The sequence below is a fragment of the Homo sapiens genome, chromosome 14, assembly GCF_000001405.40.
Source record: "Homo sapiens chromosome 14, GRCh38.p14 Primary Assembly".
In the NCBI taxonomy this organism is placed as follows: Eukaryota; Metazoa; Chordata; class Mammalia; order Primates; family Hominidae; genus Homo; species Homo sapiens.
The window spans coordinates 21,050,760-21,075,295 of record NC_000014.9 but is presented as its reverse complement, the minus strand read 5'-3'; the positions used below and the strand labels follow the sequence as shown (position 1 = coordinate 21,075,295).

Sequence of the window (24,536 nt, the reverse complement as noted above, 5' to 3'; positions counted from 1 at the left end):
AAGATGGTTCTGGTTGTTCTGCTCCCAGCCTAACCCTGCTCCTCCTCCTGCCCCCTCCCATAGGCCCGACCTGCTTTGGCCCTTGCCCCATGAGCCTCACTCCGTGTCATCTCACCTGCCATACACAGCAGGCCTGGCCCCTCCAGCTCTCTCTCTCCGGCCCCCTCTTCTGTAGGCCCACAGGCTTCAGAGAGCTGAGGCTCTTTCTCGCCTGCTGTTTTGAGCTCTTTTGGCTCAGATTCTGGCTTCCCTGAGCCTTCATATTCCTCCTTAACCAGGTGGCATTCTGGAAGCTTGTGCTCACTTGGTGAGGGCAGATTGCCAAGGGCTTCTTGGTGGCTGGCATCTTCCTTGTCCCCAGGGCTCAGTGGGGCACTGTCCCCTCCTCGGCTAAGAGCCCCTCGACCTGCAGCTCGCTTCTTTCTTCTGTTTCCTTTGCCTGTTCTCCGAGGGGTACCAGGTGGTCCTTCAGCCCCCTGGCCTCCTCCTCCTCCTCCTCTAAGCTCCCCTGGCCTCAGGGGGCAAGATCCGGAGGCTTCTCCCACAGCCTCTGCTGGGGGCTCAGACACCTCCAAGACTGCTGCCTCTGGGACAGCCTCAGCTCCTGGGGGAGACTCAGGGGAGGCTCCGGTGCTGCTCCCCTCGCCGGGTGGGCGTGCTCCATCCTGGCCCCGAGGCCCCAGGCCCTTCTGGTGCATCCACGCCCGGTGTCTCCGGTGGCGGCCCTTCCCTCCAGCGCCCTTGCGGGTGGGTACCGTCCGGACTCTGGAGAGGCCTGGGGAGCCTTCAGCATCTGTTGGGCTCCCCCTCACGGGCAGCGTCACCTCTAACAGCTCCACATACTCGCCCTCAGGTCCTTCCACAGGGGCATTGTGCCCATCCCCAGGACTCCGGGTACCCAGCGCCTCCTCAGGAAGTGGAGGGCTGGGAAGCCCTGGAGGTCCAGAGGGCAGTTCTGGGGGCAGTGTACTTGGCTGATGTCCAACCATGAGGCCCTCTTTGTGCACAAATCGTGGACAGATGAGCTCAGCCCAGGGCAGCCGCTGAATCCCAGAGGGCGCAGACAGTAGGCAGGTACTGAGGCGACCTGTTGGCCGGTCCTTGTTGATGCCTTGTAGCCACTCAGGTGTGAATAGGTAGGCACAAGCCTCATTGGGCACAGGAACCTCCTGCACCCGCCCACCCCCAGGGGCCAGACACTTGAGTGCTAGTCGGGGTGCTTGGGCAGCTGAGGGCACCACCTGCAGATAGAAGTCTCCTGGGCGCAGCAGTTGCCAGGGTAGGGCTGCTAGCTGCACCACCACCTGTTCATGCAGGCAGAGCGGCCACCCCTCATGGAAGAAGAGGAATCCACTGTATTGGGCCTGGGGAGAGAGGTGGGAGGCTGCACTCAGGCCTCTGCTGAAGAAACCAGCAGGAGAGGGCAGTTAGAATGGGCCCACCCTAGGCAGGACCAGCCTTATGCCTGGAAGGTTATACTCTCAGGAGAGCAGGAGGGGAGATTTGGGGTATTCAGGTGGCAGAGAGGAAGGGATTGGGACTGATCGGTCTCCCAGTAGTAGGAAGATTCTTCAGGAAGCTAGTTCCATGTGTGGGAGGGTAAGAACTGAATCGTTACCAAGACATGGTCAGCAGATGCCATTGTCTTGGAGAAGCTAAAGACTCTTAGGAGTCTTTATATCTGTAGAAATGAATGATCTCTGTTGACTAATGTACGGGGGAGTTAGTGTCTTGAGAAATTCATATGAGGGGGAGAAGATGTCTGGAATTGGGTCTGGAGAGTTAGGGTCTTTGGGGGTCAGTATTGGGGTCAAGATGAATTTGGGGAAGATGAATGTGTGTGTGTGTGTGTGTGTTAGCATCTGAATGGTCAGTGCCTGTGAAGGTCAAAGTTTGTGAGAGGTCAGAGAATGAAGCTTAAGTGATTCTGGAGAGATCGGTTTCAAGGGAGGCTGTATCTCTAGGTTAGTGGGGGCATTAGTCAGCCTGGCTAGTCTGTAGAGTGTGGCAGTGGATCTTGGGGAAGGCAGAATAGTGATGCACGGCCACTCACACAGGCTTCCTGCTGGACCTTGGCAAGCAGGTGCTTGGCTGGTACCAGGAAGTCCAGCGTGTACCTCAGTGCGTCCTCCCGATAAGTCCTCTCCACCACCTGGAACACCTGGCCCAACAGGGTGGGGGCTGTTGCCTCAAAGGGTGGATACAGGGCGGCGAGAGTGCTCTGCACACAGTCCTCCACTGGCTCAGGCTCCTGTAGAGATAGGACCAGGCTACAGATCCCTAGAGATCACCCAATCATGGCTCCTTGGGAGCTGCACTGGTCTGGGGTTGGCTGTGTTCTCCAAAGCCCCGATTGTACAATGTGGGCAAAAAGTGAGCACTCAGGAAATGCTGGCTGATGAGCCCAGAACAGGAGTGGGGCTGGGCCAGAGTGCACAAACCTGGCAGGGCGCTCAACACTCCCGCTCTGAGACCTTGGCTTTGGAGATCCAGGGAGAATTTGTTGTGAATGCCCCTGATCAGGGCTGTTCCGGGTGCTCGTGAGTTGGGGTGATTGCATAGATCTTTCCCAGGAGAGAAAAGACAGGCTTCTGGGCTATCAGGGGACTGAGCTTATGGCTGAGAACTCGAGGGGATGAGGGAGATTTCCACACAGCCATCCTGCAAATCCCTTCCCATAAGACCCACCATCCAGGGCTCCCCATCTTAGGTGGAGGTGCCATCACCCACAATTATGTCCCAGAGATGATCATTTGGTGAAAGAGAGATGCTCATTTATATGCTAGAGATGGTCATTTGGTGGAAAGAGGAGGATGGAAAGACTGTCTGTGACTGTCTTGGGTCTTTCTAGCATCCCTCTTCCTTCTCCCACAGTGGCTCTGAAGCAATCACCCAATCTTAGAGCATGTGGGATTGGATTACAAAGAATCGGGTGGGGGCAGTTGAAAGAGAAAAAAGTCACAAGAGGAACTTGTGGGAAGGGAGGAGGAGGCCTTGATGGTGCGCATTCGAGCTGATCTTTTCTGATTCCAGTGGGACCTCTCTCTGCCAACCTCCACTAGGAGTCTCAAAAAGACTCAGCCCTGCTTCATCCAGACTCCCCTCCCTAAGTGAGTCAATGAGACGTCTTTCTCCAACTCCTAACCTAAACAACCACCCCTTGGGCTATTCCTTTGCAAACTTCTTTTTCAAGACAGTCTTTGAAGTCCCTTTTACTGGAATTTTTTTTTCTTTTTTGCTGTAAATGGGGAAGGGGATACTCAATGCAGCCTTTACCTTGGTCTCTACCTTCCCTACCCCCATACCTTGCCTTTGCCATAAAACAAAATAGCTTATTTTTCTCTGAGCTCCATCCAGAGTTGCCCGTTTGTCTTGACCGTCTGGGAAGTTAGGGCAACCACTCCAGAGACGGGACATTCAGTGCGTCAGCGCGCAGACCCGGCCCCAAGGTGTGTGGGCGAGCAGACAGACCCCCAGTGTTCCCGGGACCAGGCGGACGCAGTGCGCGTGGGTGGGGGGAAGGTGGAGATGGGCGGGGGTGAGGCAGAGTGGGGCCGTCTGCTCCAAGGCAGGGAGTGCGGAGCTAGGGCTTGAGCAGCGAGGCAGCTGCAACCCATTAGGGGCGGTGAGCTCATGGCTGAGCGAGAGTCTCAGCCACAGGAAACGGCCGCGGCAGGAGGGGAGGAGGGGTCTGGGGAGGGAGGCGGCGGGCGGGAGCACGGAGACCCAGCCTCCTGCCGGCGGGGACCAGAGAGGAGACCAGAGAGACTGAGTCAGCTCTCCCTGGCCCAGTTCCTCTTTCTTTTTCCTCCAGCCTCCCTGCCAGAGGGTGCCCTTCCCTCCGTAGAGGGGCGGCCCCAGTAGTGCCCCTGCCCCTCCTCCACTCCCTGCGGTGAGCTCCCCCTGGCAAGGCCTCTCCCCCTCCTCCACTCTGCAGCGAGCGGCCCCTTGGCCATGCCCCCGCCCTCTTTGCAGTGGGCGCTCTCTCTGGCAGTGCCCACTCTCGCAGCGGTGCTTCAGAGTACTCTGCAGTGAAAGTTCCCAGGGCAGTGTTCACTCCTGTTGGTGTGGGCTTCTCCTTAGCGTACCCTCCAGCGTCCAGCGCCCCAAGTTGCTGCTGCCAGGGTCCCCTAGTCCCTGCAGGGAGCTCCGGCTCGTGTTCCCTCCCCTCTGTAGCAGGAGTGCCCTGAGGCAGCCCTTCAGTTCCCTGCAGCAAGAGCTCTGGGGCACTTTCCTCCTCCGCAAACTCTGGTCGGCTCTGGCAGTGTCACGCCCCCTGGTACTGTGAGCTCCCCCCCAAGCACCCCCAACTATCCTGAGGCAGCTCTTTTTCTCTGCGGGAATTTCCCTCTTTGGCCATGCCCCGGGACCCGGCCCAGCCACAGCTGTGGCCAGTCCCCTAGGGCCGGATGGGTGGGCCTGCCTCACCGGGTTGGGGACAGGGATGGAAAATGGTGGTTCCATGCAGGTCAGTTCTCATGACCCGAGGGGCCGGGCCTCTTCCAGGGTCGCTGCAGGACCAACCCGCAGGGGTCTCCCGCGGGTAAGGAGCTCGGACCAGGAGGGGGAGGGAAGCTCCAGGAAAGGAAGGCACAGGTCAGGACAGAGGAGGGCGGGGAGCGGGGAGGTGTGTGGATTAGGGGAGAGACCCAAGGGAGGATGGGGGAGGAGGCGGAGGAGAGGAGGAAGAAAGGGTGAGGGCAATACCCGGTGGGGACAGAGCTAAACAGTCGGGCAGACAGACAAATCGAAGAAGGGGGGATGGGAGGGAGGAGAGTCCCAGAGGGGCCGAACAGTCCGAGGCAGGCTCGGGAGGCACCAGGCTGAGGACTTGGGGGCCCGGAGCGGGCTGCGCGAAGGCCGAGGGGACCCAGGGGGCTGCGACGCTGGACTCACCATGGCTCGGCGCCGGGCCGCGTCCGACGCTTGGTCGGGCGGGCGGGGCCGGGCGCGCCACCGCCTCCCTCCCGCCGCTCGTGTCTCGCCGGGTCTGGCTAAGGGACAGCTCCGGCCGCGGTGGCGGCTCGGCCCGCTCCGGCTTCCAGGCCGCGGGGCCCCGCCAGGGAGGGCCGAGACGGCCGCCCCTCCCCGCCCCGCCCTTCAGCGCCCGCCCCCGCCTCCGCGCGGGACCCCTTGCCGGGACTCTGTCTCCCGCGCCGAGATCTCTGCCGTTCCCCGGGCGTCCCCAGCCTATCCGTCCCGTTCACCGGCAACCTTCTTTCTTCTCCGCCCCGCCCTCCAGCGGGTAACCTCGACCCTGACCCTCGGAGGCCCGCCCAGCCGAGGATGCCCCTCTTTTCCCGCCACGGCCTCGCTCCCCGCGGGATCAGTTTAGCCTCGGCAAGGGATGCTCCAAAGGCTGGGGCGTGCGTGAATTCCCTTGGGCCGCCCCTTCCCAGAACTGGGGTCTTCCTGCGGCTGGAAAGCCTCCCCGCTCTAACTCGCCCGGGATCCTCTTCTCTCAACGGTTTCTAGACTTTGGCAGGACCCAGGGCTCAAATGAGACCTTCAGGCCCCTGCCTGCCTAGCAGAGAGCGGAGGGCCGGGAAATCAGGGGATTCCCCAACCCCCCGGGGGCTTGCCCGCCCTCCTTTCCCTCCATCTCCTCGGGCCTGGAATCTCTGGGCTGACAATGGGCTCCTCTGTGTTGCCTGGGGAAGGCGGGAGTGTGCGGGAGTTAGGGAGCAGCGAAGGCTTGGGATAGGGGGCGGACATCCTGGCCAAGGGGGCAGGGTTCCCGGATCGGGATGCTTATGTAGGGGCGTGCATTTCGCCGGACATTTTCTGAGTTCTCTCCTCCGTGGCCCTTCCCTTCCGCATCCCTACCTCTCTATTCGGCTAGAAGAGGGAAGGCACCAGGCCTCCAGTTCGAGGATTCGGTACTGGATGCCAGCCCCTTCCTTCTGTTGGGGTGGCTATAGAGTCCCGCAGGGCCGCTAGGGCTCGTGGCCATGGGAATGGGTGGGTATCTGGCGCAGGAGACAAAGCAGGGTGGGCTAGTTACGAAAGTTCTAGCCTCACTCCCTCATCAAACCCCGAGCGTCCCCCGACAGTGTCTGAATGAGAAAGGAAGGCCAGATGGGGGGTCTCCCAGGAGCCCGGGGGGAGGCACGGGCACGGCGGGGAGATGCCCTGCCTGGCCTCTGAGCAGGCACCGGGAAGCCCCGCAGCTCCGTGAGCTCTTCTAAAGGGTGGACGGAAGGGAGAGGAGAGGAGATCGGAAAGCCGAATAGTCCCCGGAGGGGCGTGAACGCGTGTGCCCCTGCAGCTGGAGGGCGATGATGAGAAAACGTCTGGCCTCGCCTGCAGTTCCTCGGAGGCCGGAGCCTCTGGGCAGTTGTTGGAACAGCGGGAGGGGAGGCGGGGGTGCCGCCAAGGTGACTTGCTCTTCTCTCACCTCCTCTGGACGCTAACCTCCACCTTTTTCTCCGCTCCGCTGAGCCTGGAAAAGGACAGAGCAAGTGTTCATCCTTCTTAGAGGCAAGAAGAGGCCTCTGCTCCATGCGTCAAAAAAGAACCTATGGCAACAAGCCCCGGTAACCATCTTCCCCGCACAGTTAGAGCCGTGGAGTTGGAGCTCTTTCTAACACCCGGCTAGGGGACCCTCGAGTCACCGACACTCTCCAGGTTCTCTATTACGAGGGCCCGCGAGCTAGGAGAGTGAGATTTTGCTACCCCCTGGTGTCCATTCCGTAAATACTGCCCAGGGGCGGGTTACAGGGGCCAGTGTTTAAAAAACCTTATTCACCTGTCTCAAACCTAGCTCATCTATTCTCGGTGTTGAGAGTGTCTGAACCTTTCCTCACCAGGCCTTCCATTCCTTAAACTGCAGCAAATTGTTTAGGGAACACTTGGTAGGGTCCAAGGTTGTCCATTGGACTCCAAGGCTCACTACTCTTAGGTAGTGGAATATAAATTAATCTGGCTATGGGGGTCCACAAACTCCTGGAAAAAGGGAGTGGATCATTTTTTTTTTTCATGGAGAAAAAGGGGAGCCGGCCGGGCGCGGTGGCTCACGCCTGTAATCCCAGCACTTTGGGAGGCCGAGGCGGGCGGATCACGAGGTCAGGAGATCGAGACCATCCTGGCTAACACGGTGAAACCCCGTCTCTACTAAAAATACAAAAAATTAGCCGGGCGTGGTAGCGGGCGCCTGTAGTCCCAGCTACTCGGGAGGCTGAGGCAGGAGAATGGCGTGAACCCGGGAGGCGGAGCTTGCAGTGAGCCGAGATCGCGCCACTGCACTCCAGCCTGGGCGACAGAGCGAGACTCCGTCTCAAAAAAAAAAAAAAAAAAAAAAAAAAAAAAAAAAAAAGGGGAGCCACTGAAAGTTTTTGAGCTGGTGGGGTAAGGGAGTTTGGATAGAGAATCAGGGATGCAGTTACCCCTTCTTTCCAGGAGTTTTAAAATCTGTGCTAAATTACAATGGTTTATTTTAAGTAAGTAAGTGACATGTGGTTGCAGCAGTTAAATACCACTTTCTCCAAAGAATGCAGGCTCTTACCTAAAAGTGTGTGTGTGTGTGTGTGTGTGTACGTGTGTACACAACAGAGTATGTGTTGATACGTGTGTTTTTAGTGGGGGAATATGAAAGGGTAAAGTTATAAGGGAGAAATTAGAGGCTGGGAATAGACCAGACTTAGAAGCCTTCTCATTCACAAACAGTTCTTACCATATTTCACCCATTTAAGACTCTTTGGGGCTTCTCAAACTCCTGTTTTACAGAAGAAATTGCAGCTTATTGAAGTTAATAAACTCTCTCTAAGCTACACAGTAAATGAGCAACCAGGATGTGAACCCAGGCTGTCTGACGCCAGAGGCTTCAGTCGCAACCAGTAAGTTATAGGGTCTCATCTAAGCTGTCAAAGTTCATAAAAGAAGAGTTTTAAACACCACATCACCATTTCTGCCACCAAACCATCAGGCTAAAAAAGTTAAATTTGTTTTTGTAGAAGCCAGCACTGAGGTTCTAAAAGTGATAGATATGTCCCCGTGGGTCAGAGAAAAAAAAAACCTACCTTTTTCTAGACTTGTTATAGACTAATAGTTAAAATAATTCCGAAGACATTTCCAGTATGGTTCTTATGGAAAACTAGTGCTATCCTAATACGGGGGAAGGTGGAAGAAACACCTGTGTCTGTACTGCTTATTGCCTGGTTTATGTGCACCAAGAGCTATGACTGCCATCTTATGGAGGGTTGGGGTTTTAGGCTGCTCACTATTTCTCCCTGGGAGAGTAGCAGTGACTAGGGCTGTGCCTCAGCCCCATGCCTCAAGTTAGGGGGAATTAATGAAGGACCACAAAGGGAATTTTAGGGACGGACTTGAGAGCACGTGTTCTTGTTAGCTCTGCCTTCCAAGGAATCTGGGGATCAATATCCCAGTTATTTTAGGGTAAAAAATCTGTGTGATATGTAAATATATATCAGTTCTATTTATGGTTTAATTTTTCATTGGTTTTGGTTTTATTTGATTGGTAATATTTTTTCAAAAATTAACAACTTGTCTTCTCCGAACTAAGTGTCATCAAGGTCCATACCACCAGCATCTTGCCTGTGCTAGCACATTAGTTTCCCCACTTGTCTGCCTGTTCCACTCTTACCTTCTGATAAGCCATTCTCTGCACCATAGCCAGAGTAATCTTAAAAATCCAAATAAATCAGGCTGGGCACGGTGGCTCATGCCTGTAATCCCAGCACTTTGGGAGACCGAGGCAGGTGGATCACGTGGTCAAGAGAGCAACACCATCCTGGCCAACATGGGGAAACCCCAACATGGTGAAACCCTGTCTCTACTAAAAATACAAAAATTAGCTGGGCGTGGTGGCACATGCCTGTAATCCCAGCTACTTGGGAGGCTGAGGCAGGAGAATCGCTTGAACCTGGGAGGCGGAGGTTGCAGTGAGCCGAGATCGTGCCACTGCACTCCAGCCTGGCGACAAAGTGAGACTCCGTCTCCAAAAAAAAAAAACAAAAAAAACACAACCAAAAAAAAAAGATCCAAATAAATCTCATCAACCCCGTCTAATGGCTTTCCATTTGCATCATGATTCCTTTTCTGCCTATCTCTCCTTTTCTTTTCTGCCTCATCTTTTACCATAGCCCTGTGGTGACATTATGCTAAGCCACTAGTGACCCTGCAGCCACAGTGGACTTCTTTCAGCTTTTCAGGTTTTTGTTGTTGTTGTTGTTATTGTTGAAAAAAAGTCTTGCTCTGTCGCCCAGGCTGGAGTGCAGTGTTGCAATCTGGACTCACTGCAACCTGTACCTCCCAGGTGCAAGTGATTCTGGTGCCTCAGCTTCCCAAGTAGTTGGGTTTACAGGCTTGCACCACCACACCCAGCTAATTTTTGTATTTTTAGTAAAGACAGGGTTTCACCATGTTGGCCAGGCTGGTCTCAAACTCCTGACCTCAGGTGATCCGCCCACCTTGGCCTCCCTAAGTGTTGGAATTACAGGCATGAGCCACTGCATTCGGCCCCTTCTTTCAGTTCTTTAAACATGCCTTACTTATTCCTAAAGATGCTTAATTTGGCACCTTTTTGCTCTTCTTTCCTTCTGTCTGGAGCTTTCTTTTCATTCACGATTCTAGTGACTGGCTGTCATCCTTCAGGTCTTAACTAAAGTGTTACAGTCTCAAAGGTCTTCTTCCCTGGCCACCTGGTCTAAAGTGGTCTCTCACCCATTGTCTTTCTGAATAATGTTATTCTGTTGTATTTTCTTCATAGCATTTTTCTCTATTGATTATGTATTTATTTTCTGTCTATCATAATAGACTCACCTTTCTACCACATATAATTTAAAAATAAACTTTATGAAATGAGGGACCTTGTCTATTTTGTCACTGCTTTTTCAGCTAGTGTCTGACCAGTTCCCAAAAGAGATCATAAATCCAAGTGAAGACTGAAAGGAGGGCAGAAAGCTCCAGAGAACAGGAATGGTTTTGGGAACAAGTGAGAGGTGGGAATGGCAAGGCAGAGGCTTGGGGTCAGCTGCTTTCCTGTCTTCCTGGAATCAGTCCTCATGAGGTTTTTTTTGTTTGTTTGTTTGTCTGTTGGAGGATATTTGCAAGTGGAAGGCATGCAGGACAGAATTTTTTTGTTGTTGTTGTTTGTTTTTTTTTTTTTGAGATGGAGTTTTGCTCATCGCCCAGGCTGGAGTGCAGTGGTACAATCTCGACTCACTGCAACCTCTGCCTCCTGGGTTCAAGCAATTCTCCTGCCTCAGCCTCCCAAGTAGCTGGGATTACAGGCACCCGCCACCAGGCCTGGCTAATTTTTGTATTTTTAGTAGAAATGTGGTTTCAGCATGTTGCTCAGGCTGGTCTCGAACTCCTGATCTCAGGTGATCTGCCTGCCTCTGCCTCCCAAAGTGCTGGGATTACAGGCATGAGCCACCATGCCCGGCCACGGGACAGAATTTAAGACAGATGTGGACCATCATCTGGCTCAGATGTAGGCTTATTGTAGTAGAAGAGTCTGGAGGAAGCATGGTTTGGAGGGGGACTTCTGGAAAGGTTCCAAAGTCGCTTATGGACTTTGTTGATGTACAAACCCAGAAACTCTTTCATGTAGTTGTAACCCATTTGAAAATAACAGTTTTGTGTTCTGCTTTCTTCATGTAGCATTGTCCGTATATATTTCCACGCATAAGTATAATTTTTGCCTACATTGTCTTTAGTTAAAGCATCAAGTAGGCTGGGTGCGGTGGCTCACACCTGTAATCCCAGGACTTTGGGAGGCCGAGGTGGGCGGGTCACCTGAGGTCAGGAGTTCAAGACGAGCCTGGCCAACATGGCGAAACCCAGTCTCTACTAAAAATACAAAAATTAGCTGGGTGTGGCAGTGTGCACCTGTAATCCCAGCTACTTGGGAGGCTGAGACAGGAGAATCGCTTGAACCCAAGGGGCAGAGGTTGCAGTGAGCCAAGATCACGCCACTACACTGCAGCCTGGGCAACAGAGAGAGACTCTGTCTCAAAAATAATAAAAAAAAAAAGGCATCAAGTGGTTGTTCACTATTCATTTAGTCACTCTCAATTTTAGGGAATTTATATTATGTTTAACTTTTCTCCATTGTATGAAGAAAAGGTATAAAAAGATTTGTAGAAATGTACTCCTCCGCACTTTGAATTATTCCCATTCGACATATTTTACAAAATGGAATTATTGGGTCAAATGGTAGGAGCCATTTTATAACATTTGTTACTGCCAGATGTGGCAATATGTGGAGGGCAGGGGTCATGAAACACTCTTAAAATATTAAAAAGGTTGATTGTGAAGAGGAATTGGGCTTACTCTGAATGGCTCAAAGCGGTAGGGCATCAGTGAATTGTTGCAGTTATAAAGAAGCAGATTCGGTTCTATGTAAGGGAGTTTTGAATACTTAGAGTTGCCTGAAAATGGGACAAGCTATCTCCATAGGTAAATTCCCTCTCACTGAAAAATTTTAAGCATAATGAGAGAGCTTTTAAAGAAATTGTTTATAAGCTTTCCAGATTTGTGATCTGTACATTTTCCTACCCCCAGCCCTTTGCTCCAAAACCACATTTTGTTAAATGAACATTTATTAAGACATAACCTGTGCCTGTTATAGCTAGCAGTGGCCTCAGCTCTCATTGGCAGACCCCCAGCAGAGTCAGTCTTCTGGAGCAGACAATCTAGGAATTCCAACAGCGTGAAGTCATTCCCATCCTCCAGACTTCAGAACTGCCAAGCAGCGGATAAAACTTTGTCTCTAGTTCCTTGACATTTCCTTTTTTTTTGTACTTAGTGTCTACCTCCAGGTCTCTGCCCATGTTGAACATACGCATAAGACCCCCCAATTACAAAACCTATATCCTTGCCTTGCCTCCAAATAACCCCAAGCCAAATCCAACACCTAAGTGATTGATTCCAAGTAATTGTTACATTATCTTATTTGTGCCAATAGATATTTGCACTTCAGATGAGGAGTTTGGAATCCCAAAAGATCTGTAATTGGCGGAATATAGCACTCCTAATTCCATTAACAGAACTTTACTTCCTCACCCTGAACACGTGTGTGTTTATATACACACACACACATACACACACACACATACACACCACTTTTAGGCAGGCACTCTAATTTACTGAAGAAACTGGTTGCTTAAAATCCGTTTTTTGTTTTTGCTTTTGTTTCCTTTTTGAGACAGGGTCTCGCTCCGTTGCCCAGCCTGGAGTACAGTGGTGAAATCTCAGCTGACTGCAACCACCACCTCCTGGGCTCAAGCAATCCTCCCACTTCAGCATCCCCAGTAGCTGGAACTACAGGCAGGTGTGCACCCCTACACCTGGCTAATTAAAACAATTTTTTTTTTTTTTTTTTTAGAGACAAGGTCTCACTATACTGCCCAGGCTGGTCTTGAACACCCGGGCTCTATTGATCCTCCTGCCTCAGCCTCCCAAAGTGTTGGAATTATAGGCATGAGCCACTGGAACCTGGGAGGTGGAGGTTGCAGTGAGCTGAGATCGCACCACTGCACTACTCCAGCCTGGACAACAGAGTGAGGCTCCATCTCAAATAACAAAACACACACACACACACACACACACACACACACACACACTGTGCCCAGCCTGTTTTGTTTACATTTTAAAAGCTACTCTACTTAGTAAAAGTAGTCTCAAACTCCAAGTTTGGCCAAGGAGGAAAAGTCCCTATAAAGGGTGGAGACCTGACCACAGCCTTTGAGTTTTACTTTTTCTGGGAGTATATTTTGCTGAAATCCTCTGCCACCCCTACACGGGCCTCAGGCAAACCCTGCTCACCTTTCTCAGTTTTTCTAGGATATAATACTCCCATTCCCAAGTCAGAAAAATAACCCAACTGAAGGCAGCACAGTGCAGAGGGAGGAGAATGCTGAGGAGAGACAGAGGTCCAGGTTCCACTCTGAGGGCTCCACTGCCAGTCGCATGCCCTTGAGCCTGAGCCTTGAGCTTCCCTCCCTACTAAACGCCCCAGCAAAATCAACAAACATATTAACACCGGAAAATATAATCACCAAAGCCCACTGTGCAGTACAGATGAAAATATCATAGAACATGAATCGGTCTTGTAGTGTCAATGTGAGTTTTTAAAATGTTTCTTTTGTGTCCAACAAAGAGTATTTAGAGGCTACTTGGCTTTTTAACACTTATGTTTCCTATGTTAAAGTTATAAATCAGCTTCCTTAAGCTTTTATGTTTAACTTACATAGAAATAAATTCTAATAATCACTTTAAAGAATTGTATTCACCGACTATTTGATCTTATTTGTAAGTAGTTAATGAAACTCTTTAAACATTAAAAGAGATATTTTATAAATTCAATATATATTCCATGTCCTTATAAAGTAATTTGGGCATTTGAGCTAACCAGCAAAACATTCCTGAATACTTAAAAACCTTTATAAATCTAACAATTTCTAAATAGGATGATTCAATTTCTATGTTTTCTTACATGATCCAAAACTAATTTTAAAGGAAAGTTTCATTTCAAACCATGTGCATTTTAAATTAGAATGACAAGCCTAATACAAATTCCTTAATACAAACATGTTAACGCTATGTGTTGATTCTTTTAAACATTTCTATACTTAATTCTAAATTTTCTGGATGTTAGAACATACTTACCCACTGGAAAATATTTATGTCCTCCCAAATGGCTGAGGAGCCCCTTCTCAAGTGATTTTTTGGAAACACGTTCTCAGGGGCCCAGAGAACACACCCAGTAGAGATTCGGTCCCAAGGCTATTGGGCAGCTCTTCTGTGGTCCCAGCTTCACCACTGAGCCCTGTTTTATGGGTGCTGTGTCATTACCCTCAGAGTGGGCCAGTTTTACAGCCCATGACCCCTAGATTCCAGTTACACGCCATCTAATTCTTCAGCCTACACAAGGAAGTCAGAAACTCCTACCCAGGTTGCTACCCCCACTTGTTTGGATATAATTAGTCTCCTTAACGATTCATTCTACTCTGAATGCTTTTCACACTCTTCCCAGCTTCCGGGGCCACAACTCTTACAGATATTGAATGGTTGAACTTCTCCTGGTGTTGCCTAACCCTGGCTACAGACCTAATGCTGTGCCAGAAATATCCAACGGGAAAATTAACATTCAACAGAGAATGAACTTTGGGATGAATGAAACCCTAGGGGAGATGGGAGAAAAACGTTACAGAATCCATTTGGTTTCTTCTTCTTTTCTATCTTATTACTTGATAGTTTCGTATGTACTCTTTAATCTCGCCCTCTCAACAAGGTAGTGAATCTGCGGTTGTACCAACCTAGGTATATTTGCCTAGCTCCAAATCACGGCCCCCTCCAAGGCCGTAATGTGTATTGAGCACACGTTAGGAACCCAGTGCTATTTGGACAAAAGAAAATAAAACTCAGTAACTTTTATGTCCTCTTGAGGTAGTTCCTGGGATAAGGTGGGCAATTACTGGAGAAACAGACAAACAAGCACGAGTTGACACAGGTGTGTCTTAGATTAGGACTTTGAATGATCGAGTATGATGTTTCCACTAACGAACACTGAGAGGCTGCAGGAGAAGGGAGGGGCAGGTTTGGAAGCCAGGCAGATTATGAACTTAGTTCTGAGTGTTTTGGGTTGAGATGCCTGTGGGACACTGACTGGGCTAGTAACAGTATGAAGATGGACATGTATGACTGGACTTTGGGAGCTCTGGGCTGGAGATATACCTGTCTTTGGGAGTAGGTTAATGGTGGTTGGAGCCATGGAAGTAAATCAAGTCACTCAAGTAGAGTACAGTGTGGGAAGAAAAGAGAGCTCAGAACAGGACCCTGGGAAACACCGTCATTTAAGGCGCAGCCGCAGGAAGTGGAGCCTGCCCGCAACACTGGGAAGAAGCCAGGGGATGGAAGAATGCTGCTTCTGTCTCACTTCCAGATGTCTTCCCTGGTTATAAGCACGAGGGTGGGCAGCATAGTGGTAGTGATGGGCAGGGCAATGTGGAGGGGGCTGGAGGCTGTGGGGGAAACTACGCTTGGGGTGAGATGGTGTTGGTGTGAGAGGCTGCATTGAGTTCTAGTTCTAGAAAGCATAGAAGGGGGCTGGGATTTTGAATTTCTGGATTCTATGCTTTCTCTGCCACTTCACGTTTCACCAGACATCCTTTCCTTACTCTGAATCATAGCCTGTGTAGGAAACTCTCTTTCCAAATATGGGAAGGGAGGTGTAATAAGGAGGCAGAGATAGCATGGGGAAGAAGAGGGGGTGTCTTGTTGAGTGTGAGTATATGAGTAGGTGTGGGTGTTGTGCACACAGGTGCACGTTGTGACTATGTGTTCCTCTGTATGTATATGCATATGGGGGTGTGTATGTGTGTGCCTTATGTTGGTATGTAGGTATGTGTGTGTGTATATGTGTATAATATGTGTATGTTTTTCTCTCTGTGAATATCTATCAATACAAGTACAGAAATTGAGAGGAAACATTAAGAAACTTTTATGGGCTGAGCGCCATGGCTGACGCCTATAATCCCAGCACTTTGGGAGGTCCAGGTGGGTGGATCACTTGAGCCCAGGAGTTGAGGGATCGCTTGAGCCCAGGAGTTTGAGACCAGCCCGGGTAACATGGTGAAACCCTGTCTCTACAAAAAAATGCAAAAATTAGCCAGGTGCGGTGCCATGCTTGCACGTGTAGTCCCAGATACTCAGGAGGCTGAGACGGGAGGATCACGTGAGCCCAGGATGTCGAGACTGCAGTGAGCAGAGATTGGGCCACTGCACTGCAGCATGGGTGACAGAGTGAGACCCTGTCTCAAAACAAAAAGCAAAAGAAAAAAAAAACCCAAAAAAACCCAGTAACTTTTATGGCAATTTGACAGAGTATTTTATATAAATTGAATCTAGTAATAAAACAATTGAGCTTGTATTTTCTATAGTTATATGTTCTATTTCATTTTCTAGTAATTCATTGTATTGTATTTTACAAAAGTATTGGTCTATGGCCGATTGCATATAAAACTGCTCCTTTACCACAGTTAGTCTTCAGCAATGATTAAGACCAGATCAGGACTCCTAGTAGGTCCTGATTCTGAAATTCCCCAAGGAGGGAAGTTCACTCCAGAACGCTGAGGGTCCTGCTCTGGGTCACGTCGATGAAACATGAACTCTGGTCTTGCGCACACACAAGGGGGTCAGGCCTCAGACCTGACTGGCATCCCAGGGCTCAGCCTGTCCTTCCTGTCACTCTACCCCTTCACATGAGAGGGGGCCACCAGAGAGCCCTCAAGGGGCTGGAGGACAGAATCAAGCCAGCTTCCCAGACTGTGCCTGCTCAGGGTGCTGCTCTCCCTCCGGCCTGCAAGGCAGGTGGAGCTGATGCCTCACAGAAGTAAGTGTTTCAGGGCCTTTTCAGGGCCTTGGAATTGGAGCTCCAAACCTCTCCACTTACCCCAAGACAGTAACACACACTCCATCAGCAACAGCAGAGTCTTTATTACAGCAAGATCAGATGCATTTCTTTGCCCAACACAGGGAACACAGCAGAGATTCCCCTTCCTTCCTTCCTTAGATAATTACCCCTGTCTGGGATCTCCCTGGACTGTCCAGCCACAGCCCTTCCAAGGATCTGACTTATTTACGTTTGTAATTTTATATTCTTTTTCTTTAAGAGGGTCTTTGGTGAGCCACAGGCCTCACCAAACCCAGATCCATCCTTGTGGGGATCCTGAGTGCTTGACTCTGGAAGGGCTGCAAAGTAAGCTACAATGAAAGGCTGAAGAGAATCTGCCCTCTTCTTTCATCGTTTGGAGCGTCTGTAAAACTCCCTAAGAAACCAAGAGTATGTGAGGTTGAGTGTGTGGGAGGGAAATGGCATTTGCAGTGGGGAGCAAGGATTAATAACGAACTGGAGGGAGGAAAAGCAGCAGCATACAGTCTGCAGAGTGTGAGGTGGAACGTGGGCACCAGGGCTTAGACAACTTTATCCAAGTGCACAGGAACAAGTGGGTACCCTGGGTCACCCTGTTGTGGAGGGTCACAGGCCACTATGTAAGGTGTGTTCAGGTGCTTCTCTTTGTACCTGCAGTTTGGGTACTTCCCTGAGGTGAGCTCACCCATGGTCAGGGACATGGGCCCGTGGCTCTGGTGGCAGTTTTTACAGCTATTCTTGCAGGCTATGTTGGGGGTCTGGCAGGTGATGGCCACACTGGAGAAGGGCTCGTGCAGGAAGGTGTTGAGGTCTTTGCACCGTTCTGTGTACTTATTGATGATGCTCATGGCTGAGTTGCATGCTTGAGGGCTGGGCTGCACATGCTGAGTTTTAAACCACTGAGATGATGTCATGTCCTTGGGCTTGGCTCTGACTAGGACCTCTGCCACCCACAGCCCCAGAAGCAGCAGCAGCAGGGGGCAGCATCCTGCTCTGGCCGGTGCCATCTCTCTTAAGGGAGACAGTGGAACAGAGTGAGGAGGTAGGTGGATGAATAGGTCATCATGGGGGAGTCTTGTTAGTCCTTCTAAGAATTTCATACCCTAAGCCAGTTATTGCAGGGCAATGTGCAGCCTAAGATATTGAACACCCCTGGCATTCTATTGTTTAGTACCAGCAGATAATGTGCCTTTTTGTGCCTCTAATAAACACTTACCTTCTTTACCTCTCACAATAGTTTTATGGGTATGATTACCTTCTCACATATATATATATATATATGAATAAAATGAGGCTCAGGAAAGTTAAGAAAATTCCTATTATCCCACAGCTAGAGCGTGTCAAATACAAGATTTTAACCAGGACCTCTCAAGTTCCCTAACTCCTATTCTTCCCACACTCCCAGGTATCTTTTCTGAGACTGTGAGAAATCACAAAGAGAAACTAAATCTTTTTTTTTTTTTGAGATGGAGTTTCGCTCTTGTCGCCCATGCTGGAGTGCAATGGCGCGATCTTGGCTCACTGCAACCTCTGCCTCCCAGGTTCAAGCAATTCTCCTGCCTCAGCCTCCCAAGTAGCTGGGATTACAGGCATGCACCACCACGCCTAGCTAATTTTTTCTATTTTTAGTAGAGACTGGGTTTCTCCATGTTGGTCAGGCTGGTCTTGAACTCCTGACCTCAGGTGATCCACCCACCTCAGCCTCCCAAAGTGCTGGGATTACAGGCGTGAGCCACCGCGCCCGGTTAAGAGAAACTAAATCTTGAAGAAAAACATGTGAAAGGTCAATACCCCACTCTGCTGGACTAGCTTAGGTGTCCCTGAAAGAGTTGTTATTAAGGTCGTGGAGTCAAATGCATTCCTCCCCATTCTGTGGCCCAGTTTCTCACTGAAGTTAGAAAAAATGATCACTCCTAGTGAAGGGATCGCAGCTCCAGCTGTCAAAGCAGCATGGCGAGTTGGGTTCTTTCCATGCCTGACATTTTGCCCTGCTGGAGAATGTCTTGGAAGGATAGAGGGTCAGGGCTGGAAGGGACCTTAGAGTTCATCTCAGTTGACTCCCTCATTTTAAAGATGAGGGAGCTTGAGTTCCTGCAAGGGCAAGTACTCTTTCCAAGGCCGCCGAGTGAGTGGCAGAGCTGGGGCTAAGAGCTTCCTGATGTTCAACCCATCCCTTTGGGCTGGCGCCAAGCTAAAAAGGAAAGAGGAAAGAGTTTCCCATAGGAGCAGAGCAGAGTGAGTGTGTCTCTGTTTGTGGTTTTAGGTGGTGTGTGCTCATTGCCTTAATTTCTTCAGACCCTTCTAAAAACATTTAAGAGAAAGTCTCCTCTTAGAGCAAGAAGGTGAATTCTTTTACACTTTCCCGTGTTTGTTTCTCCTCCTTTTCAATAACGACAACAGGCCTCAGGCTGAGTTTTCAGCTGAAAACAATATCTGGATAGAATTTTTAAAAGTTAGATGATATTCATTACATTTATTTTTACTTCTGTTTACAAAGTAACACTAGTATTCTTTGAAAGATGGCATTACTCAGTTTCATTGTAAAAGAATTATTTAAAATAAATGAGTAAATATATATTTAGCGTATTATTAAAATAATAGGGGTGGTAAGCAGATATTGTGAAAATTGTCAAGGGTTAAAGCAAATGACTGCAGTTGGGGAACTGGCTCTGCACTGCAGTTTCTCAGGTCGGCGATAGTGTGTTGGACTCCCCTCAGTCTCTCAACCTCTGGGATTTGTGTAACTTCTCCACCTTTGGGATAAAGTGCTCTCCAAAATGGCAAAATTTGCCGAGGCTCCTAGTATCTGCATTTCTGAATGTAAAAATTCTGAGATGTTTGTCATCTCAGGCAAACATGGTGGAGGAGCCTTGTTTGCCAGTAGAACTCACCTTTTCCACAGCAGGGATCCCTTCGTGCACTCCTCCCCACAAAGCAAACAAAACATTGATTTTTGAACCCAGGAAAACATTACCCAGAAAGCAGTTGACTTGGGCAGCAGGGAACAAATCTTTCCCTCCCTCTGCACTACTCCCTCCCACCACCCTGTCCCAGGAAGTCATTTCTCTCTTGCAGGCCCTCAGCTGAGCCTCTCCCATTGGGATGGAAGGGTTACCAAGTGATTATTCATTAACGGTTACAGACCCAAGCTGCCAAGCTTTGAAATGAGAGGGTGGGGATGGTAGCAGGAGCCCAGGGCTGGCCTAAACGTTTACTGCCAACCAAGATGACTGACCAGAGACTTTGCAAGCTCTGATTCCAAATACGTTGCAAACATGCTTTCCCTGAAGTAGGTACTGGCCCATGCAGCTGGCCAGCCTCACTCAGGGAGGCCTGGGAATGGGGTTCCTTTGATTGTGTGTTTTGATCCTAGTCATTCATCATGAGTTTTCCCCACTGCCACAGCCTCAGGGCTGTTTTATCCATTAAGCACTTGAGGCTCAGTGCTTAGAATCTGGGAGGTTTCTAAGGGCCTACAACATTTGAGACTGGGAAAAATATATTGGCTCCAATACAGGAAAAGTCAAATATAGAATCAAATAAAAAATATTTACTTACCTGCTACTAAAGTAGCATGAAGTTGATTTCACTTATTTTGAAATTTGGGACACATAAAAATCTCACTACATTGGAAAACAATCTTTGGTTAGTTTTCTAATTTTGTAGGAATTCCTAAGTACCTGGAAACCTTGAATGCAGAAGGAACAGTGCCAGTCACAACTTACTTGCAGTCAAATAATTTCAAAAGTAAAACTTTAAAAATCTTTTCAGATACATTTCTGCAGAAACAATATTGAATGAGGAATATATATCTTACATATTCAAAGTAGTGTGGCGAGTGGTAAAATGCTTAGGAGTATGGTAGGATAGAGTATACTATTTACTACCTACTAAAGGCAGCCAGGATAACATACACCGCATTGCTTATGGTTCAGGTCAGCACAGGGCTGTACAGCAGCAGCAGGAGGAAAGAGATGCTACCAAGCATCATTTAATTAGCATCTAAAATGTGCTCGGTACAGTTCTAGGTTCTTGGTGGAAAGTAAAGAACCTCATTTTAAAAGGTGCTTCACGAGCCAAAGCATTGTGCTTTGTGTACAACTTTATATATAAACTGTATTGTGTGTTCCACAATATTATCCCAATTTTACAGAAAAGGAAACTAAGGTTCTGGCAGGTTAAGATCCACAGATTTAGTAAGTGGCAGGGCCGGGATTTGAAATTCGGTTCTGTTTGGCTCCAAAGTTCATGTTATCTTTCCTTGCCACACTGCTTTCCTGTTTATTGATAATTCATTAACAGTTACAGACCCAAGCTGCCAGCCTTTGAAGTGACAGAGTGGGGATGGCAGCAGGAGCCCAGGGCTGGCCTAAACATTTCCTCCTCTTGTGGGCTAAGAGTCACCTTGTGTGCACTGGTATGGAGATGAGCCAGTCTTGGCTCTGATTGGTCAATGCCTGTTCCCACCAGATCACAAGAGAAGAAGACTGAATGCCATCTCTAATGTCTACTATGTTCTTGACACTGAACTCAGCAGTGTGTGTGTGTGTGTGTGTGTGTGTGTATTATCTCTTTTGTGATCAATCTATCTAAAAACATCTCCTTACTTATCTTGCAGCATCCCCATGAGATAGAAATATTTATGCTTATTTTGTAGGTAAGGAAACAATGTCTGTGTGTGTGGGAGTTGAGTAACTTGCCCACAGCCATACAGGAGTGAGTGACAGAGCCACTTCGATCTGATCCTCAAATTTACACTCTGTACACTGTGTCAGGCCGTGCTGCAGCTTTGTTTCATTTCAGAGCCAATTTTTACTGATCTTGTTTTTATATGGGGTTTCTGGTCACCCCTGAGAGTACAACTCAGACTACAATCAAAGTTAAAATAGTCTAGTGGTAAGAATACTGAACCAGACATGAATAGCCCTGAATTCTGGTCCCACCTCTTTCACTAATTAGCTGCATGACCTTGGGCAAGGCTCTTCACTAGCTTACATGGACCCAGTTTCATAGAATATCAAAGCAGGAAGGCACTTCCGAGTTCATTGAATCTTAGCTCTTGCTCTGATCAGAAGTGTATTTTTTTTTTCTTTTTTAAGGCAGGGTCTTGCTCTGTCACCCAGGCTGGAGTGCAGTGGCACGATCATGGCTCCCTGTAGTTTCTACATCCTGGGATCAGGTGGTCCTCCTACGTCAGCCTCCTGAGTAGCTGGGACTACAGGCCTGCACCACCACGTGTGGCTAATTTTTCTTTTTCTTTTCTTTTTTTTTCTGAGACGGAGTCTTGCTCTGCCGCCCAGGCTAGACTGCAGTGGCGAGATCTCGGCTCACTGCAAACTCTGCCTCCTGGGTTCAAGCGATTCTCCTGCCTCAGCCTCTTGAGTAGCTGGGATTACAGACACCCACTGCCGCGCCTGGCTAATTTTTGTATTTTTTAGTAGAGCTGGGGTTTCACCATCTTGGCCAGGCTGGTCTCGAACTCCTGACCTCATGAGCCACCTGCCTCGGCCTCCCCAAGTGCTGGGATGACAGGTGTCAGCCACTGCGCCCGGCCAAAGTGCGGCTAATTTTTCTATTTTTTGTAGAGATGGGTTTTGCCACGTTGCCAGCACTGGTCTCAAACTCCTGGACTCAAGTGATCCACTCGCCTCAGCCTCCCAAAGTACTGATATTACAGGTGTGAGCCAATGCACCTGGCAATAACGTTACCAACAGATGGTTTTTGGGCTTGAATACCTTCAGTGACATGAATCTTCACTACCTACCAGTTATATCAGGCACCCAGTTCTGTTGTCTGAGAATTCAACTTTTCTCAAAACCTGATTATCCCCTTGTAAGGCCCCTGTTTCTGTTTTTGGCGCTTCCAGTTGAAAATACTGGTCTCCTTTGACTGTTTCTAATCTTTCATCCCCATATCGATTAGTAGGCTAACAGACTGAATACTTAGCATGATCAAAGTATGGAGGGGCACTTGAGTCACTTAGTCTTATTGGTTCTCTTGTACGTATTTCTCTCCCTTTCCACTGCCTGTCTGGATGACTCTCACCACCTTCTAACTGCCTCCTTGCCTACCCTTTCTCCTGAGTTTAATTGAGCATGTATAATAATGTTGGATGGATCTTGTTAAAATATTCCTTTTCCTGCATCATTTCTCTAAAGATCATCTGTTTATCTCCAGTGGTTCTCTTGCTTGCAAGGTAACATCCAGCCTTCCCAGCCTGGAATCAAAGCCTTCTCCTACTCACCTTGCGTCCAGTCTACCCATTCCGTATGAGTGGCCTCCCTATCTTCCCTCCGAACACAAACTATTCTAACCAAATTCTATCCTAATAACCTGATTTTCCTTTTGTCTCCAGCACATGTTTTGCTCTCTTCAGCTTTGCTTCTGTTTCCCTCTTCCCTGCAAGTCCTCCCTCAAATATTATCCATCCTTTAGAACTCATCTTGACCATATGAGTTTGCTCAGGATCACATTTACGAACCTTGCCGTACAAATCCTAACCTCCTTTAGCATTAACTGTTTCATAGTATCACTCATTTGGGTTCTAAATCGTGTACTACCTTGTTTTGCTATTTAACTCTTTCATCCAGTAAGAGCATCCAGTCTTCCCAACTAGACGGTAAACTCGTGGGACAGGAATCAGGTCCTTCCGTGCTTCTCTGTCTTCATAGTGCCAGGCACATGGCTAGCTCACAGGAGCACTCAGTAACCGTGCATTGAACTCAGTCATCACTCTGATCCTCTCAGTCTTCTTACTATTTATAACACAAGGAGTTTCAGTTGAATAATGTCTAAAATGCCCCCTGGTTCTGACACTTGTGTGACACAAGAAAAAACATCAAAGTGCTAGTAAGTAGCCAGCACCTTACTAGTATGAAGGAGAGGCCTAATAGTAGACTCTGAAGGTGCCTTGAAAGAAGGGGAGCAGAGAATAAGCAACTATCTCCCAAAGACCCATTCTTTCAGGATACCCCAGGAGGGCTGAGCGAGGGTGCCAGAGAAGTTTGCCTGGTTTGCTGGCCTGAAGGACAGCAGTACCACGAGGGTCGTCTTTGAACTACAAGTGCCACCCCCATAGGGTTTTTCAAGCTTCAACCTTCAAACAGCCTCCTGGTGGTGACAGACCTGTGGTCTGGGCCCTGGTTTATGGCTCTGAGAAGCAGAGCTCCATCACATGGAATCCAGTGGCCACATTCCTTTTGGGAAGCCCTCCTCTGTTTCCAGTGGCTAACCCTGTCTCCTGCCAGGTCCATTTTTCTTTTCTATGTAGTTCTTTGAGGCCTTCCTATGGTGCCCATTTGCACTATGAGCTTGTCTCTGCGGGAGGACTGTCTCCCTTTGTTCCTCACTCCTGGATTCATCTTCATGAGGGAGAGGATGTAGTCTTCAACCCAACCAGAGCTGAGGCATATGGCTCCCTGGATACGCCAGTTCCCCTCATAGGCCGGCTGCCCTCCTGAGACCTCTGACTTACCACAACAAGGCTGCGTGCAGCCTTCAGCCCTGCTAGGAATGATAGGGGTCATAACGATAAAAACAATCATAGTTAACATTTACTGAGGCTTTTCTATGTTCCAGTCACTGTTCCAAGTGCTCTATGTCTATTTTCTCATTTTTCAGCATGAAAAGGACCTTTCCAATGCCCTAGCCCCATGACTACCCTATCTTCCTCAACCAGTTCTTGAAAAGAAACACTGGTCAGAGACAGAAATCCACAAAGAGCAAGTTAAGGAAAACATTAGAGCCAGTGTACTGCTACCCCAGGTGGAACACAGATGTGTGCAGAGGGTACACAAAGTCACAAGATAAATGTGTTCTTTACAATTTTACTAAAACCATCTTTTTAGGGGATGGGGAGTAATTTAAGGCATTATTTTTACAGAAAATAACTTTGTATGATAGAAAAATTCAAATGAGTTACATTAAATTTTTTTAGCATTTTCACTTTGAAATAATTTAAAACGTATATAAAAGTTTCAGAAAGCATACACAGAGCTCCCCTATATGCTTCACCCAGTTCCCCAATTATTAACATTTCTGAGCTATTTCAGAACAAGTTACAGACATGATGCTCATTACCCCTTAATACTTCAGTGACTATTTCCTAATTACAAGTACTCTCGTGTGCATAACCACAGT

At 48.8% G+C, this 24,536-nt stretch overlaps 3 protein-coding genes across 10 annotated transcripts in view, besides 5 other annotated features; 1 reads left to right on the top strand and 2 right to left on the bottom strand.

Moving 5' to 3' along the window:
• The window catches only part of ARHGEF40 (Rho guanine nucleotide exchange factor 40), a 28,985-nt gene extending 14,953 nt beyond the window's left edge, over nucleotides 1-14,032 (bottom strand). For 6 of the 8 annotated variants that reach the window (NM_001278529.2, XM_011536937.4, NM_018071.5 and 3 more), the window contains exons 1-3: nucleotides 4,897-4,992; nucleotides 2,054-2,251; nucleotides 116-1,364 (exon numbers count right to left, since the gene is read on the bottom strand). Coding sequence is in view for 6 of the 8 variants with exons in the window: in XM_011536937.4 (XP_011535239.1) it covers nucleotides 116-1,364; nucleotides 2,054-2,251; nucleotides 4,897-4,899 (1,450 nt within the window). In the remaining 2 variants the exon portion in view is untranslated. Of the gene's footprint in view, nucleotides 1-115; nucleotides 1,365-2,053; nucleotides 2,252-4,896; nucleotides 4,993-6,397; nucleotides 6,443-13,632 lie in introns of those variants that run through there. The other 2 variants (XM_017021434.3, NM_001278530.2) reach the window with 2 other exon arrangements.
• Nucleotides 3,647-4,268: an enhancer, noted in NCBI's record as "H3K27ac hESC enhancer chr14:21539187-21539808 (GRCh37/hg19 assembly coordinates)". NCBI's record gives its function as "activates a minimal SCP1, AML or CMV promoter by ChIP-STARR-seq in primed H9 embryonic stem cells {active_cell/tissue: H9 hESC(primed)}" and the evidence as "EXISTENCE:reporter gene assay evidence [ECO:0000049][PMID:30033119]".
• Nucleotides 3,670-3,969: a silencer, noted in NCBI's record as "silent region_5580". NCBI's record gives its function as "represses an Ori minimal core promoter by ATAC-STARR-seq in GM12878 lymphoblastoid cells {active_cell/tissue: GM12878}" and the evidence as "EXISTENCE:reporter gene assay evidence [ECO:0000049][PMID:35858748]".
• The window catches only part of NDRG2 (NDRG family member 2), a 54,110-nt gene continuing 33,997 nt past the window's right edge, over nucleotides 4,424-24,536 (top strand). The window contains exon 1 of the mRNA NM_001282211.2: nucleotides 4,424-4,468. Within this exon, the coding sequence (NP_001269140.1) occupies nucleotides 4,445-4,468 (24 nt within the window). The 5' untranslated portion in view covers nucleotides 4,424-4,444. The remainder of the gene's footprint in view (nucleotides 4,469-24,536) is intronic.
• Nucleotides 4,760-4,829: a silencer, noted in NCBI's record as "silent region_5579". NCBI's record gives its function as "represses an Ori minimal core promoter by ATAC-STARR-seq in GM12878 lymphoblastoid cells {active_cell/tissue: GM12878}" and the evidence as "EXISTENCE:reporter gene assay evidence [ECO:0000049][PMID:35858748]".
• Nucleotides 4,840-5,059: a silencer, noted in NCBI's record as "silent region_5578". NCBI's record gives its function as "represses an Ori minimal core promoter by ATAC-STARR-seq in GM12878 lymphoblastoid cells {active_cell/tissue: GM12878}" and the evidence as "EXISTENCE:reporter gene assay evidence [ECO:0000049][PMID:35858748]".
• Nucleotides 6,595-6,694: a silencer, noted in NCBI's record as "silent region_5577". NCBI's record gives its function as "represses an Ori minimal core promoter by ATAC-STARR-seq in GM12878 lymphoblastoid cells {active_cell/tissue: GM12878}" and the evidence as "EXISTENCE:reporter gene assay evidence [ECO:0000049][PMID:35858748]".
• On the bottom strand, nucleotides 16,841-17,474 carry RNASE8 (ribonuclease A family member 8). Its single transcript, NM_138331.2, has one exon. The coding sequence runs from the start codon at nucleotides 17,401-17,403 to the stop codon at nucleotides 16,939-16,941; it is 465 nt and encodes a 154-aa protein (NP_612204.1). The 5' UTR covers nucleotides 17,404-17,474; the 3' UTR covers nucleotides 16,841-16,938.

Bases quoted from the DNA above. Each gene is read 5' to 3' on its own strand.
- RNASE8 (NM_138331.2), bottom strand. From the start codon at position 17,403: ATGGCACCGGCCAGAGCAGGATGCTGCCCCCTGCTGCTGCTGCTTCTG.